General features: G+C 48.8%; 1 protein-coding gene across 10 annotated transcripts in view; it reads right to left on the reverse strand.

The window, feature by feature from the left end:
* The window catches only part of KIAA1755, a 50,233-nt gene continuing 43,621 nt past the window's right edge, over positions 11,282–17,893 (reverse strand). For 8 of the 10 annotated variants that reach the window (NR_145960.2, XM_024452013.2, NM_001348708.2 and 5 more), the window contains one exon: positions 11,282–14,522. Coding sequence is in view for 9 of the 10 variants with exons in the window: in XM_024452013.2 (XP_024307781.1) it covers positions 13,821–14,522 (702 nt within the window). In the remaining variant the exon portion in view is untranslated. The other 2 variants (XM_047440570.1, XM_024452011.2) reach the window with 2 other exon arrangements.

The raw sequence follows: 17,893 nt of genomic DNA on the forward strand, positions 1-17,893 counted from the left end.
TTCTGGTCAAAACCAGCCCATGCTTAATCCTGGGTCTCCTTCCAAAGTAACCCTGAGCCATTGCTGCAGTAGGACTGTATTCTCAGTCAGAGTTAAGCCTTTTTTCTTACAAACAATGAAGGAGGGCCGGGTGCACGGTGGTTCATGCCTGTAATCCCAGCACTTTGGGAGGCCAAGGTGGGCGGATCACGAGGTCAGGAGTTCGAGACCAGCCTGGCCAACATGGTGAAACCCCCTCTCTACTAAAAATAAAAAGATTAGCCAGGCATGGTGGCAGGTGCCCGTAATCCCAGCTATTCGGGAGGCTGAGGCAGGAGAATTGCTTGAACTTGGGAGGCGGAGGTTGCAGTAAGCCAAGACTGTGCCACTACACTCCAGCCTGAGCAACACAGTGAGACTTTGTCTCAAAAAAAAAAAAAATGAAGGAAACATAAGCAAACAGCTCCCACCCACACGTCAGCCCTGGTGACCCCAGCATTTACAGTAGAGTTGGCCAAGCAGATGGAGAAATGTTGAGACAAAACTAGCTGGGAAATGCCTCCCAAGCCACAGGATGTGATTATGTGTGGTGGGCTGGAGGGTGGAGCTGGGGTCCTGGCATGGACCCCCAGAGCAGAGGCCTTCACAGAGCAGCTGGGTGGAATGGGGTCCCCGCCAGAGGCTGGGGTGCACCAGGGTCACGCGGCTGCCGCAGATGATTGCAGAGTGGAAGGAATCACTGAGGTCAGAGTTGCCGAGGCTCTGCGGGGAGATCTGAAAGCCTGAGCAGCCCCCAATCAAATTAACAATGGCTCCCTGACCTGGCTCATTCCTGAATTCCACCTCCTCCACCATCTGATCCTCTCCCCAGCAATGAGAGTGAGTTGGAGGAGGAGCCCTGGACTCCAGACAGGGAGGGACTCGCTGGGGTCTCACAATAAGCCAGAGGCTGAGCTGAGACTAGAACCCAGGGCCCTGCCTCTTCCACTGAGGCAGTCCAGCAGAGGCCTCTGGGGCTTCAGAATCCCTTGTATGTACATGGGTCTAGGCCGGACACAGTGGCTCATGCCTGTAATCCTAGCACTTTGGGAGGCTAAGGCGGGTGGATCACCTGAGGTCAGCAGTTCGAGACCAGCCTGGCCAACATGGTGAAACACAGTCTCTACTGAAAAAAAAGAAAATTAGCCAGGTGTGGTGGCACATTCCTATAATCCCAGCTACTTGGGAGGCTGAGGCAGGAGAATTACTTGAACCCAGGAGGCGGAGGTTGCAGTGAGCCGAGATAGCGCCATTGCACTCCAGCCTGGACAACAGAGTGAGACTCTGTCTCAAACAAAACAAAACAAAGCAAAACAAAACAAAACAAAAAGGGTCTAATATTAATAATCATGCCACCTCCCACTCATGGCACTCACATGCCAGTGCTTCACCTCACAGAACCCCCCAACAGTGCTAGAGGGTAGGACTCCTCTGTCACCCCCATTTCCAGAGGAGGATATGTGACTTAGAGAATGAATGGTGGAGCTGGGACAAGACCCCAAGCCTGGCACTTGCACTCAGGGGCACGTTTTGTGGGTGGGAAGCGGCCCTCCCTGAAAGTGCTGGCATGCTAGCATACCCCCAGCCCTGTTCAAGTGCTTGGAAGCTTCCTGACCCAGGCCACTGGCAACCAGAACTCCCAGGGCCCCTGGCTGAATCCGGCTATGTTGTCAGGAGTTCCTGGCAAGTGTGGAAGCAGGTGGGCCCCACAGACTTCCCAACCCCAGCTATCCTAGCAGCTGCAGCCAGGATAATTGTCCCCATTTTTTTTGGGGGGGGGGGGTGGGGAAACAGAGTCTCCCTCTGTTTGCCCAGGCTGGAATGCAGTGGTGTGATCTTGGCTCACTGCAACCTCCACCTGTGCATCAACCTCCAGGGTAGCTGGGATTACAGGCGTGCGCCACCACGCCTGGCTACTTTTTTGTATTTTTAGTAGAGGCGAGGTTTCACCATGTTGGCCAGGCTGGTCTCGAACTCCTGGCCTCAAGTGATTCACCCGCCTTGGCCTCCCAAAGTGCTGAGATTACAGGCATGAGCCACTGTGCCTGGTCAATTGTCCCCATTTTAACAGATAGGCAAATCGAAGCCCAGAGAGGAAACCAGGCCACCCTTTCCAGAGGGGTTGAGGCGAGGAGCAGAAGCTGCAGTTAGACCCTAGCTCCTTCCCCAGGGTGAGCTGGATGCGTGGGAACCATGGAGGAGCAGGCACGAGTGAGCGGCTTCCTCCCTGCAGATCTCAGCAGATCAGACAGTCGCCATGACTCATCCCCACATCCCATCGGCCCTGAGGCTGCCCTGGCCTGGGACTTCCTAGCTCCAGTCTTGTTGCTCAGGGGTGTGGAGGACACCAGATCTACCCTTACCCTCCACCCATGCCTGGGGAGACATTGTTCTTAATGAAACACACCAGATGGGTGGGGTGACCATGTCATTTATTGGCCAAACCAGAACAATTTGGAGAGCTATTAATAATGATGTGGTGATTGTTAGCATTAACCAGGACTGGCCAAGACAAGTAGGGATGTCTGGTCTCTCTATTGACAACTGCAATAGTCATTGCCTAACTCCAAGTACTAGACGCACCAATGTCAGTCACTCAGGCATCAGCCACAGGTTAGGGCCAAAGTGTTCCGGGGCAGGTATATTTTTGAGAATTCCTCAAGTCAGGGGGCACTCCTAGGGGAATTCAAGTCTACGTGTAGGACATACTTTGAAATGAGACTGCTGAGTTTGCATCTTGGTCCTACCATGTAAGGGCTGTATGAGCTCAGACCCGTTACCTATTCCCTCTGACCCTGAGTTTCCTGATCTATAGAACCAATTGACCCCCGTAGAACTGTTGCGGGAACAAAAAGAGATAACTCAGGGTAAATGACCCACAATGCTGGCACAGCATATATGCTCAGTAAATAAGAGGTCGTTATTACTTTGTATTAATGTGATTATTAACTATGCTGAAAAAGGCAGACCTCACACTTTCAGATATGGCCTTGCCCTGGGGTTACTCACAGTGTTGCGGGGAATGAAGTCCAGGCTAAGGGACTGAGTGCTGGGCATGAAGGACACACCGAGGGTTGTGGGGTTCGGAGATGTAGGAGAGGCTTGGGTAGGGGCATCAGGGTGGGCTTCCTGGAGGTGGCCCCTGGGCAGGGTCATAATCATGTCAAGATTAAGGTCCTAAGAAACACCTGTTTCTAAAGAGCTTATCGTGCTCCCTTTTCTCAGTATAACTACATAAGAGCTCACTGAAGTTCAGCTTTTTATCTTCATGACTTCAATGGTCTCTTTGGGATGTCAAATATCAAGTTCTTTCCCCCAAAAAGTTCATTGAGCTCACATTAAATCTGCTTATTGCTCCACCCAGGCCAGGAACAGAAGCCCTAGAGCTTGCTCAAGCATGAATGGAGGATGGAAGTGGAGGCTTAGGGGCAGGGGGGTGACCAGGGGAACCCTAGCGAGCAGGGCAGCCTGACCTGGGGGTGGAGGGAAGGGTCTGAGCCCGAGCCAGGGCCGTTGCTGCCTCTGGGCCTCTTGAGTCTGGCTCTGAGCCTGTCAGCTTTGGTTTTTCCTCAGTGGGGACCACCTTTCTGTTTTCTACGGACATAGCTGGACACAGTGGTCCTCCGCACATGCTCCCTCCAGAACCCACCTAGCATCTCTGATTCCCAAAGCCAAATCCTGGGAAAAAAGAATCTTATTGGTTACCTTGAGTCACGTGTCTATCGCCTCAACCAGTCAGCCTACAACCAGTGGCCGGTGGCACGGTAGAAGCAGAACTGATGGGTGGAGGTTGTTGGACATTTACTATGGATAGGTAATACTTTGACATGTAGAAAAGGGAGAAGCCTTTTCCAGGAGGAGGGTACAGCATGGGCAAAGGCTTTGGCGGCAGAGAATCGGGTGCTTAGTGTGGCGAACACCGAGTGGCTAAGTTCCTATTAGCCTTCCTGTGGCTGCTAGAAGGGCAGCTCCCTTAGCCACAACCCTGCCCCTGTGCCTGGAGCCACAGACACGGCCCAGAGAGGGCAGTCCGGTGAATCAGCAGCAGAACCCAAGCTCAAACTCCTACCTCCTTTTTCCCAGTCCATGCTTGAGTGTCTAAGGCATAGGAGGGAGTGGGGGGAGAGGAACAGGGAGAATGAAATCAAGAAATAACAGGCTTCACAGGAGCGGTAATGACATTTTAACTTAAAAATTGCAAGGAGATGGGGGCTGCGGAGGTGTATGCAAATTTCATGTAGATGAGATGCAAATGAGCCTGCCTGCTCCTGCCTGGCGCACCTGGATGTGGCTCAGTGACAAATCCTAATGGGCTCTGCGTGGCTGTGTGATTGATTAGCAAGGCCGGCTGGGATGACAACTGCACTCCTCTCCTGGGAGCTGGGGGAGAGGTGAGACTCTGTTTCTAGGCAGACCTGAACCCCCTCTGATAGGGGACCCTGAGGGGTGGCTCTACTAGTTCAAGGATAGCAAATTTAGGGCACATCTACTACTTATATCCCTGCCAGCACCCATGGCAGACATCATTAATCAAACATAGAATTCTTTCTTACTGAGCCAACCAGGTGCTGTAGGCAGCCCCTACTAATCGAAAAGATTTGGCATTCATCCTTTCATTCATTCATCTGACAAACTTTGTTAAGTTTCTTCCCTGTGCCAAACATACATTGAACAGGTAGACTCAATTTCTGCTCTCATGAAACTCACAGTTTAGTAGGGGATATAAGCATTAAATAAAATATTGCAAAATGGCAATCGAGATACATGCTATGAAGGAGAAGTACCTGGTTTTTAACAAAAGAGGATTTTGACCACTTCAGAGTGGTCAGGAAAGGCTGAACCTCTTGCTGGTATCTGAAGGATAAGGAGGGCTTAGCTAGTTGACAAGGCTGAAGCCTTAAGATGAGAAAGAGCTTGTAGCAGACACTGTCAGTGCTACACCCAGATACCCTATGATCACTTCTTGTTGCTGTGCTTCCCTCCTCTGGCTTCTCTGTGTGTGTATGTCTGTGTATTTTAAACAACTTATTTTGAGATATAGCCAATCCACCATGCAATTCACTCATTTAAAGTGTACGATTCAATGGTTTTTAGTATATTCACAGATATGTATAACCATCACCACAGTCAATTTTGGAACATTTTTGTCATCTCAAAAAGAAATCCTGTATCCTCGAGGGATCACTGCCATATCCTCCCACCTCCCCTATCCCCAGTCCTAAGCAACCACTAACCTACTTTCTCCATATATAGATTTACCTATTCTGGACATTTCTATAAATGGAGACATATAATATGTAGTCTCTTATGACTAACTTCTTTCATTTAGCATAATGTTTACAAAGTCATCTATATTATTACAGGTGTCAGTACTTCTTTCCTTTAAACAGTTTTTATTGTGGTAAAATATATATAACACTTACCATTTTGTTTTTAAGTGTGCAATTCAGTGACATTAATTACATTTGCAATGTACACCCATTACCACTGTCTCTTTTCAAAACTTTTTCATCACTCCAAACAGAAACTCTCTACCCATTAGGCAATAACTCCCCATTCCCACCTCCTCTCAGCCACTGGCAACCTCTTAACTACTTTAATGTCTCTATGAATTTGCCTATTCTAGTTATTTCATATAATGGACTCATACATATTGGTCATTTTGTGTCTGGCATATTTCACTTAGCATAATCTTTTCAAGGTGCATCCATGTCGTGTGTATCAGAACTCATTCCTTTTTATGTGGCAAGATAATGTTCCATTGTATGTGTGTGCGTGTGTGTATATATATATATAACAAAATGTGATTATATAAAACAAATGGAATTATATGTGTATATTTTGTTTATTCATTCATCTGTTAATGGACACTTGGGTTATTTCCATCTTTGAGCTATTGTAAATAATGCCGCAATAAACATTGGCATACAAGAATCTCTTTGAGTTTCTGTTTTCAAATCTTTTGGGTTTGTAACTAGGAATGGAACTGCTAGGTCATTCTATGTTTAACTTTTTGAGGAACTTCCAAACTGTTTTACACAGCAGCTGCACGGTTTTACATTCCCACTAACCATGTATAAGGGTTCTAATTTCTTCATGTCCTTGCCAACATTTGTTATTTGCTGCATTTAAAACATCATAGCCATCCTAGTAGCTATGAGATGGTATCTCATTGTGATTTTGATTTGCATTTCCCTATTGACTGGTGATGTATCTTTTCATGTGCTTGTTGGCCATCTGTACATCTTCTTTGGAGAAATAACTATTCAAGTTCTTTACCTAGTTGGTAATTGGGTTGTATTTTTTTGTTGTTGTAGTATAAATTCTTTACATATTCTGTATATTAAACTCATCAAATATACAATTTGCAAATATTTTCTCCCATTCTATATGTTGCCTTTTCACTTTCTTGATAATTTCCTTTGATGCACTAAAGATTTTAATTTTGATGAAGTCTAATTTATCCATTTTTATTTACGTTGATTGTATTTTTGGTGTCATATCTGAGAAGTATCTATTGGCAAATCCAAGCTCATTAAGATTTACCCCTACTTTTTTTCTATGATTTTTGTTGTTGTTGTTGTTGTTTTGAGATGGAGTCTCGCTCTGTTGCCCAGGCTGGAGTGCAGTGGCGGGATCTCGGCTCACTGCAAGCTCCGCCTCCCAGGTTCATTCCATTCTCTTGCCTCAGCCTCCCGAGTAGCTGGGACTACAGGCACCCGCCACCACGGCCATCTATTTTTTTTGTTTTGTTTTGTTTTGTATTTTTAGTAGAGATTGGGTTTCGCCGTGTTAGCCAGGATGATCTCGATCTCCTGACCTCGTGATCCACCTGCCTTGGCCTCCCAAAGTGCTGGGATTACAGGCGTGAGCCAATGCACCTGGCTTTTTCTGTGAGTTTTATAGTTTTAGCTCTTATATTTAGGTTGTTGATCTATTTTTAGTAAATTTTTTAATATGGTGTGAAGCAGGGGTCCAACTTTATTCTTTTATGTTTGGAAATCCAATTGTCTCAGCATAATTTGTTGAAGAGACTATTCTTTCTCCATTGAATGGACTTGGGACCCTTGTCAAAAATCATTGGCCATAGATGCATGGGATTATTTTGGGATTCAAAATTCTATTCCTTTGTCCATACATTTATCTTTATGGAAGTACCACACTGTTTTGATTACTATACCTTTGCAGTAAGTTTTGAAATTGAAAACTCTGGGTCCTCCAACTTTGGCCTTCTTTCCAAGATGTTTTGGCCATTTGGGGCCTATTGCAATCTGTTTTAAATTTGAGAAGTGGCTTTTTATTTCTGGACAAAAAAGCAGTTGGAATTTTGATAGGATTACATTGAACCTATATATTGCTTTGGGTGGTATTGACGTCTTAACAATCCTATCCATGAATATAGTGTGTCTTTCCATTTATTTAGGTCTTCTTTAATTTCTTTCAGTAATGTTTTGTAGGTTTCCGTGTATAAATCTTTCATCTCCTTGGTTAAATTTAGTACTGGGTATTTTATTCTTCTAGTGCTGTTGTAAATGAAATTGCTTTCTTAATTTCCTTTTTGAATTGTTTGTTGCTGGTATATAAAAACACAGCTGATTTTTGTGTGTTGATCTTCTAACTTGAAATTTCGCTGAATTTATTAGCTGTAGTAGCTTTCGTGTGGATTCTTTGGGATTTTTGAGATATAAAATAATGAGATCTGATCTTTTAAATATATAAATAGTTTTACTTCTGCTTTTCCAGTTGGATGCCTTTTTCCCCTTTTTCTTGTCTAACTGCGCTGGCTAGAACTTACAGTAAAATACTGAATAGCAGTGCTGCAAGTGGGCATTCTTGTCTTTCTCCTGACCTCAGAGAGAAAGCTTTTAGTCTTTCACCATTGAATTTGATGTTGGTTGTGGGTTTTTCATAAATGCCTTTTATCATGTTGAGTATGTTCACTTTTATTCCTATTTTTCTGAGTGTTTTTATCATGAAAAGCTATTGGGTTTTGTCAAATGCCTTTTCTGCATTGATTAAGATGGTCGTGTGGTTTAATTTCCTTTATTCCATTAATTTGGCATATTACACTGATTGATTTTCTTATGTTTAGCTATCTTTGCACTTCGAGAATAAATCCCACTTGGTCATGCTGTATAATCCTTTTAAGATGCTGTCATGTTTGGTTTGCTAGCATTTTGTTGAGGATTTTTGCATTTATATTCATGAGGTATATTCATAAGTTTAGTAATTTTCTTTGTGATGTCCACATTTGGCTTTGATATCAGGATAAGAGTGGCTTCGTAAAATGTTAGGAAGTGACTTCATTCCTTTTTAATGGCTAAATAATATTTCATTATGTGTATATTTTTAAAATCCGTTTTTAAAAAATCCATTCAACAGCTAATCAACATTTGGGTTGCTTCTACTTTTTGACTATCAGAAATAATTCTCAATAAGCATTCATGTATAAATTTTTGTGTGGATATGTTTTCATTTCTCTTGGGTATTGACCTAGTAATGGAATTGTTTGGTCATATGATAACTTGATGTTTCACAGTTTGAGGAACCGGCAAACTGCTTGCCAAAGTAGTTGCACCATTTTACATTGCCACCAGCAGTGTATGAGAGTTCTGATTTCTCCACATCTTCACCAACACTTGTTATACGTCTTTTTATTATAGCCATCTTTGTGGATGTGAAACAATATCTCCTTGTGGTTTTGATTTGCATTTCCCTGATGGCCAGTAATGTTGAATATCTTGTCATGTGCTTATTGGCCATCTGTACATCTTCTTTGGAGAAAAGCCTATTCAGGTCCTTTGTCCAGTTTAAAATTTACTATTATTAATAGTAGTATTTAGCTGTGAGAGCTTTTTACATATTATTGATACAGAATATTATCTTTTATGGGCCCACACTTGCAACTCTCTTCCAAGGTCTGCCCTGGAGCTACCAGACTCTGCTTTGTGCCACATGATTCTGCAGAAAGCCTGAAGTGCCTTGGAGGTGTAAAATGTCCTCCAGAGTTCCCCCACGCAGTCAGGCAGAGGCAGGGACTTGGTCTGAAATTGCACCTTGGCTTCCCTCCCTTCCCTGTTCTGCTTGCCTTTCTGGTTTCTCTTGTGATCACCTCTTCAATGAATCACCTGTACCTGAATCCTCACCCCTAGGTCCACTTCTGGGGAACCTGACCCCAGAAAAAGCTTGGAATGGCTGAGGAAATGAAAACAAGTTAGTGCTTCTGGAACTCAGAAGACATGGAGATTGAGATGAGGCTGAAGTGGAGGGCAGAGGCTGACAACACAGGCTTTGTAGATCACAGAAAGGTTGGATTTTCTATCTGGAGAGCTATGAGGTGCTACTGTTCAGGGTTAAGCGGGGCTGACATTATATTACATTTTGAAATACCCCTCTAGTTTCTGGGTGGAGAACAGATGAAGGGGATCCAAGTGACTGCAGGAAGACCACTGCGGACCCTGTTATAGTTGTCTGGGGCTAGAGGATGGAGGCTGGGATGAGGGTGAGGACGATGGAGGGAGAGAGAAGTAGAAGATAACAGAGAGATCAGGAGAGTGGATTTAGGGGTTAAGGGGAGGTTTGAGGACAACTTGCAAGTTTCCAGCCTGGGTACCTGGATGGATGGTCAGTGCACAGAGAGGGAAGCAGGACTGGAAGGGCAGGTCAGAGATTCCACATGCAAAACACCACCAGTTTTCCTTCCTGGTCTGACCTAATCCCTCCATTTCACAGATGGGGAAAGGAGGTCCTAAGGAAGTACCTGACTACCCAGAGTTCCCCAGCATGCCCCAGGCAGAGGGCAATGGGACCCCCAGAGTCCTGCCGCCTATCCAGAGCACTTACCCTACAGGGGACTCTCTGGCTCTGGCCTCAGAGAGCTATTTTCAGCTGGGGTTTGAGACGAGGCAAATTTGTCCTGGGCTGGAGGCCAATTCACAGCCCCTGGAGAACAGGACATCTCTGCTTTATGAGGTCAGACTGTATTCTGACCCCAGCCAGCCACCCTGTCTGGGTCTAAAGTGGGTGTGACAGCCACCCTGTCTGTGTCACAAGGGTGTGAGGGGCCTACCTCAAAGTGGCTGACAAAACACACGCTCATCCACAATCCTGGGTTTGGCATTGATCCAGAACCAGGCCCAGACCCTGTGCTTTCCCCTTCTTGGCCCCTTTCCTGGCTGTGTGACCTTGGGCAAGTCATTGCCCCTCTCCAGGCTTTAGTCTTCCCATCTGTAAAATGGGGCCATCTCAGAGTATGACTTCTGTGACCCAAAGGGTTGTAGTAAATATCAGATGGGAAATAGATGGACAAAAAGTGCTTTGCGAACTGTAAAGTGCCTAGACTTCTATTGGGGCTCAGTCCTATGTCTGCCCCACATCACTGCCCAGCAGTGAAAAGTCTTTTCAAAGCTTTGTTCCTTCACAAGATGGCTACTCCTCTGGAAAGGAAGAAGTCTTGGTGTGGAACACAAGGATCCAGAGATCTTATTTTCCTGACCCAGCAGGCTTGGCAAATCCAGTGGACAGATGGAAAAACTGAGGAGCACCTATCTACTCAGAGGCACTAGGCTGTTAAGCCTGGATTCAAAAGCAGGGCTCTCCAAGATGAGAAAGATCCTCATCCATCCAACGCCTCCATTGGAAAGATGGGGTAAACTGAGCACCAGAGAGAGGAAGCAACCTGCCTCGGGTGACCAGGCCATCAGCAACAGGGCAGAGTGGCACCTGAAGTGCCTGACTTCCAGGCTGTGCTTCTCTTTCTGTCTCTTGCCTACCAGCCCCTTGAGCTTGAAAAAAGTGTTCCCATCACAGTGGGATGTTGACAGTCACATCACTGGCTGACTTGGGGTTCCTTGAAAGCCCATCTTCTTCCACCACAGCAGGCTTCAAACTTTGTTTAAAAATCCCATGGAGGGGCACTGTGGCCTCTGCCTCCTCAGAGCAGTCTCTCAGGGGCTGAGGCTTTGCTGATTCAAAGCTATGTCATCACTCGCAGGGAATCTCTGGGGGAGGCCATGCCATGCCATGCCCCTACTGTGGGCATATTTGGGCAAAGTCAATAAACTAGGCCCAGATCAAGTCCAGCTCTGCCCCTCACTGTGGCACTGGGCAAGGTACCTCCAAATCTCTCTGAGTTTCAGCTTTGTCCTCAGTAAAATAGGGTGGAATCAGTCCTCATAATGTTGTAAAAAAAATTCAACAAGCCCTGTAAAGCTTTTAGAGGATTTAGCTCAAAGCTAGGCACAAAGAAAATGCAAAAGAAATGTTAGCTGTTATTATTCGATATTTTTATACATTGTTACTCATTATGACATTTCATTTCTGCATTCCCTTCTTCCCCAGGGGATGCAGTGAGGGGAGAGATTGTTGGGGTACAGTTCTTTCTGGGGACAGAGGGATGCACAAGGTAACCTTGGGGACTCCTCCCGCCCAAGTATTCTTAGATTACCTGTGCCCGCTTTGCCCCCCTTCCTTCTAGCAGTAGCTGTGGTCTCTCACAAGTCAGTTTCCATCCCAGCACCCCAGTTTCTGTGGCTCCCTGCCTGTGGTACCCACTGGCTGGATGCTGTTGCTATGGCAACAGCATTTTAAAAGCCGTCGGCCCTCTCTGAGGCAACAGGCATGGATGGAGATGGGCTGATCAACGCCTCTTGCATCTTTGGGCCTGTCTGGATGGAAGGCAGGGAGGGGAATGCAAGAATCAAACCTGGCTTTGGGTGGAGGACTCAGGCCCCAGCCCCGGGTGTTCCCCAAATGCACCCCCACTTTGCTGAGTCACACAGGAAGAGCACTTGGCTACAAACGCAGATTCCAGCCACCTGCCAGCACCAAGAGTCTATTTTAATGTCTGGGGTAGGATTCCCTAGGAAGCCTTTTGACCGGCTCTGCTCATGGCTCTGAGGCAGGCAGGCCCTAGACCACACCTGGGGAAGTCTTCAGTCTTGGAAGATTCCTGAAGCCATTTTAGGTATCAAGTGTGTGACTCTTGGCTGAGACAGCTCCTGAGAAGCCCTAGTTGTCCTCCTGTGCCTGGCCCAGGCCTGCCTCTCTCCCCTTCACAGCCTCATTGTGGGGGACCTGTGCCCCACAGCCTCTTTCTGGAGCCAGGAAAATTCAGAGCTAGGTGACCAAGAGGCCACTTCAGTAATGCATCCTACTGCAGAGGTAAGGCAAACACTTTCAGCTTAATGACACTCCAGAGAGGCGCTGGCAGGGGCCACTCTGGCCAGTATGAAGGGTGGGGCTTCTGGATGCTCCATCTAAGATCCGACAGATAGGCCCCTTCCCACGGTCCCCAACCACCAGGACCCAGCTGCCCACAGAACCCCAATGGTACTGGGCCACAGAGGCTGGGCATAGAGAAGTGGAAGTTGGGCAGGGAAGGGGACAGAAGACATTGAGTTCAGGGAGGCTTGGTGGGGAGGTGAGAGAGAGGAGGGACCTCTAAGGCGGAGAGGATTCTCTCTGGAGGACAAGGACAAGGTTCCACAGGGTTCCTTGAACTTGAGAATGAAGGTCCCATGCCTGCTGAAGAGGCCTTGTGAGACAGGGAGCACAGAAGACATGTCCTTCCTTTCTAAGCACAGGAACCGGCCTCTGGCTCCAGGAGGCAATTCTCTTTGCCAAGACCAATGGAGCTGGCTGTGCGTGCTGTCTACGAGTGCCAGCTCCTGAGGGTTGGCAGATAAATGCTCTGGATGCCTCACGCCTCAGGGGGTGTTCAAGGATTCCATGCTGTCTTTCAGAGATCTCCAGAAAGATCCAGCTACAGTTGCCAACATGGAAATTTGTATGAGGGTGGGGCACAGTGGCTCATACGTATAATCCCAGCACTTTGGGAGGCTGAGTCCAGAGGATCACTTGAGCTTGAGATCAGCCTGCCTGGGCAACATAGCAAGACCCCATGTCTACAAAAAATAAATAAATAATAAGCTGAGCATGGTGGTGCATAACTGTAGTCCCAGCTACTTAGGAGGCTGAGGTGGGAGGATTGGTTGAACCCAGGAATTTAAGGCTATGATTGCACCACTGCACTCCAGCCTGGACACCAGAGTGAGACCCTGTCTCTGGTGGGGTCGGGGGGGGTGGGCGGAAAAGGCAATCCCAGCACTTTGGCAGGCCAAGGCAAGAGGATCACTTGAGCCCAGGAGTTTGAGACCAGCCTGGGCAATGTAGTGAGGCCCCATCTCTAAACATAAAATACAATGAAGTTTTAAAAATTAAAAAAAAGAAAATTTGCTTGACAACATACTCTTTATTCCCTTTGCAGATTCGCCTCCTACTCCCCCAGCAGAGGTTCCTGGATCAGCACCAAACACACTGATCCTTAAATCCTCATCTCAGGGTCCATTTTCCTGGAATCCAAGACAAGGAAGCACTCCCGAATCTCCCCGAGGATTCTGCCTAAGGGCAACACTGGCCCTCGTACCCGAGGGGAGAGCTGTGTATGTTCCTGAGCTGCAGGTGGGTGTCTGCCTGCCTGCGAGCGAGACCTCTGGAGGGGTCTGTGCCGACAGGTCTTTCCACAATGAGAGCCTGGAGGGATGGAGCCAATCACACCATTTATTGTGCCCTGGTTCTGACGCCCACTCTTGCTATTCTGCATGGGTGAAGATCGGGTCTTCCAGGAGTTTTCTGGAGCCAGGGGCAGGTCGACAGTTCTCATCCTCCCAGCAGAGGCAGAATGTAAAACCAGTGCTCCATGGTGACGTCTCACTGGGACTGACCAGAGCTCCCAGCTACCCCTCCAGCTGGGCCCTGGCCCAGTGCTCCTGGAGGCTGGTGCGACTGAAGGGGCCTCTCAGCTAGAGGGAGGCAAGGGGACTTGTCTGGGGTGAGTCCTCAAGGGATGTCTGTGAGTCTGTCCCCTCTGAGGAGAAGCTGCCCCCAGTGAGGCGAGGGACCTGGCTCTGCCTGGGGGGCTGCTGCCGGAAGAAGGTGGTGGCAAGCAAATGCTCGCGGGCAGGGTCAGGCAGCTTGTGGGAGCCTTTGCCGTCTTCAGCCTCTGCAGCCTGGCCAGCTTCCTGGGGTGGAGAGCCTGCCTGGAAAGTTCTGTTCTGTTCCCCTCTGGGGGGCCCAGGAGGCCAATAGGACTTTGGCAAATGGTCCATGCCCAGTGAGTCTAGTGGAGGCTGATCCCACCTCCCCTTGGAAGTGACCTCTACACTCACACCCTGGCCCTTGGCTGCCACCCCTCTTCGTTCTGGGCGCGCTGAGTGAGCAGCTGGAGCCTCTGGGCAAGAGCTGTGGGTCAGTGCCTTCTCCAGGAGCATCCGGATCTCCTCATGCCTGATCCGGGCCTCCTCCCATAGCTCCTGGCCCAGGCCTGCCCGGCTCAGGGAGGCCACCTGCAGCCCCACGGCTGCGAGCTTCTCAGCAGGGAACTCAGATGCCAGTCGCTGCAGGTAGCGGTGGAGGCGGCGCTGGTCCCCAGGACTGACCCTTGAGGTCTTGTCCAGCCTGAGCTGGGCCATCAGGTCCTGACAGTCCATGTGGAACCAGGTCATCTGGGGGACAAGAAGAGAGGGAGGTGGGGGCTCAGGCTGGAAGTGGGACCATGGAGGACTGAATTAATAAGTGCCCAATGCCAGGGCCCCGCTCAGCTTGGCCATGATCTTCTCCACTGACCATGATGACCCTGGTTTCCCTCTCTTCCCTGGGGTGCACACACCTGCCATCTGGAAACAGCCCCCAAGCACCCTTAGAATCATCAGACACCTTTTTTTTTTTTTTGAGATGGAGTCTCGCTCCATCACCCAGGCTAGAGTGCAGTGGTGTGATCTCGGCTCACTGCAAGCTCTGCTTCCCAGGTTCAAACAATTCTCCTGTCTCAGCCTCCCGAGTAGCTGAGGCTATAGGCACCTGCTGCCATGCCCAGCTAATTTTTGTATTTTTAGTAGGACGGGGTTTCACCTTGTTGGTCAGGCTGGTCTCGAACTCCTGACCTCAGGTGATCCACCCGCCGCAGCCTCCCAAAGTGCTGGGATTATAGGCATGACCCACTGCGCCCAGCCCATCAGACACCTTCTAATAGACCTACGGGCCAGCAGGGACTTAGCCCTCTCTGGGGCTCAGTTTCTTCTTCTGTAAAATGGAAGTTGCACTAGATGATCATGAAAAGCCTTTTGAGAGGTGAAATTCCTCTCCATGGTTGTATTAACCCTTGAGAGTGCTGTGAGGGAGGAGTCTGCCTAATGCTTATTGAGCACTGACCGTTTGCCAGGTTCTGTGTGTCTCAGGCAGGATTGCACTGAACTGCACCAGCAGCCCATTTCACAGAGAAGAAAACTGAGGCTCAGAGAAGTGAACTCACTTGCCCTAGGTCACATAGCAAGTCAGGGAGGAGCTGGGATTCCACCTCTGATCTGTCCTCCAAGCACCTTCATGGGCAGAAGGAGAAACCGGCCAGGCAGGGGTGTGCCCTCACCATCACACCTTGAGACTGTCAGCCACACCAGGCCCGCAGGCCCCCTCCCTCCAGCCGAGCCTCTGCCTCATTTTGTGATTCTGTCTGTCCCCGCTTCCCCCACAAAACGTCTGCAGACTGCAAAGAAGCCAACACGTTCCCAGCCGCTCGTGAAAAACATAATCTTTCTCTCCATTAATTTAGAACCCGATAGCGAGCTGTTAGGCTGTAGGGATTGGAGAACCATTTTCTCCGAAGAGACCATCTTTCCACGGATTAAGGGAACTTGACTTTAGATAAATGGCTTCATATTCGTGCAAGCACACGGAGCTCATGGCCGGGAAAGAGCTCCATAAATCTCCGTTAGTGGCACCATTGTGTTATTATTATTTAGGACCAAAGCTGCTGCACACACGCTCCCCACCAGGGGCTGAGCCTGGTGCTGGGCTGTCCCATCATCTGTCTGTGTGTCCAGGACTTGACCTTCCAGGCTAAGCTGGACAGAGATGGATAGCACCTCAGAAATCATCTTGCCCAACCCCTTATTGAACGGATTGAAATTCAGGGCCAGTGAGGAAACAGGGCCAGCCCAGTTCCAACAGCGAGAGTTGGACTCAGAGTCAGGGTTGCTACCTCCCCCGTATGACTTCTAGGCCTGGCACAGACGCCACCTCCACACAGGCCATCCCCAGGCTTCCAGCCTATCCTGACTCCCCGCACAGCCTCCCTGAGACCTTGTGGGCCGAGCCCGTGCCAGGCACCATGGATAGAGCCAGGACCAACTCGAACCCAGTCCCTGTCTCAGGGAGCTCGCCTCGCAGGCACCATGCAAGAGACAAGCGAGTGACAAGGACCAGGACAACTTCAGGTCAAAGTGAGCACCCAGAAGCGACAAAACAGGGTGACGAGAGAGAACCAGAGTGGGCAGTCAGAAAGGGTGTCTGCAAAGAGGGGATGTGTGAGCTGAGAGCGGAAGAAAGACAAGAAGCCAGCCGGTCAACGGGAAGAGCTTCCCAGGCTGAGGGAACAGCACGTGCAAAGACCTCAGAGTTGGAGCACGTTTGATCGATCCGGGAAGGCCAGTGGGGCTGAAATTGGCTGAAATCAGTGGGCAAGGCAAAGAAGCTACCAGATGTCTTTAACCCTGGAGGCACTACTCCTCTTCTTCCTCCTCTTAATGATAATAATAATATTGATGTTAATAACAATTCTGAATTTGAACAAAGCCCTGTGCCAGGGGTTACTTCCATTGAAATCTGTCATTAGCTGGTAAGGCTGGCAGTAGAGCCAGATGGTCTGGGTTTGAATCTCTGCCCACTCAGTTAGCTGTGTGACCCTGGGTGAGTTATCTGACCTCTCTGTTTCCTTAGGTGGAAATGGGCATAATAGTAGTACCTGTCTCATAGGATCGGGGCGACAATAAAATGATACGTGAAATGACTAGAACAGGGCCTGGCTTGTCATAAGAACTACACGGCCATTAACTATGGTCTTAGCAAAGAGCTGAGGCCTAGAGCAGTGAAGACTGTGGTTGAGGTCACAGAGCTCACGCAAGGACATGAAGCCCCAGACTCCAAGGCTCGGATTCCGCCTGTATCGTGCTCTTAACTGTACACAGCTGGAACTGGGGGAGCCCTTTGCTGCCACTGCCAACATCTGCCTCCCTTGCCCACTGTCCCAAGGAGACAGAGAGTGCCCTGTCCTCCCAGGGCCCCAGGCGTGAGTTGACCAGAGTCCCTCCTGCTGCCCTCTGAAGCAGCCTGTGATCGCTGTGGCCTGCACGTGGGGCTGGCCTGACAGCTGGGAGGCTGGGGTCAGGTCTTTCTCATGCTTTGTCCTTGGTGACAAGTGCAAGGGGCAGCCAAGGGCACTGGGTCTGGGCCAGCCATGGGGGTCCCTGTCCCAGCTGGACCACACTCTCCCAGGCTGCTCCTTTGTCCCCACAGACCTCAGTTTTCCCATAATTTTTTTTTAAAGAGAGATTTGGCTACATGAATTTAGGACAGGTGGCAGCTCCTAAATCAAATCATCCTTCACCACTGCCCTCTTTGGGCAGTTTTCTCATCTGTAAAATGGGAACAACATTGGTTCCCTGTCATCAAAGAGGTATGGATAAGAATGAAGTCAAGTAAGGTGTGTGAAGTGCTCACAGGAGGTCTGGCATGGTGTACACACTCAGAAATGTGCACTCCCCTCCCAACAACCCCTCATCCTCACCATGGTCAAGCCTGCTTGGTGAAGGGATCTGTCGTCATTTCTCTTCTCTTTGGGGAAGCATATAAGGCATGTCACGGGGTACCACAGACACATCTATGTTCAAATCTCAGCTCTTCCCCTTCCTCTGTTTTTTTCCTGTTACAAGACTTGGGGAGTGAATCACGATGAGCCTCCGACTGTGTCTGGGTATCCCTGTCCCTGCTGTGCCCCCAGCCAGGGGATGGGGGTGGTGTCTGTGCAAGTGGGTGGGGGGGG

The sequence above is a fragment of the Homo sapiens genome, chromosome 20 (genome assembly GCF_000001405.40).
Source record: "Homo sapiens chromosome 20, GRCh38.p14 Primary Assembly".
NCBI lineage: Eukaryota > Metazoa > Chordata > Mammalia > Primates > Hominidae > Homo > Homo sapiens.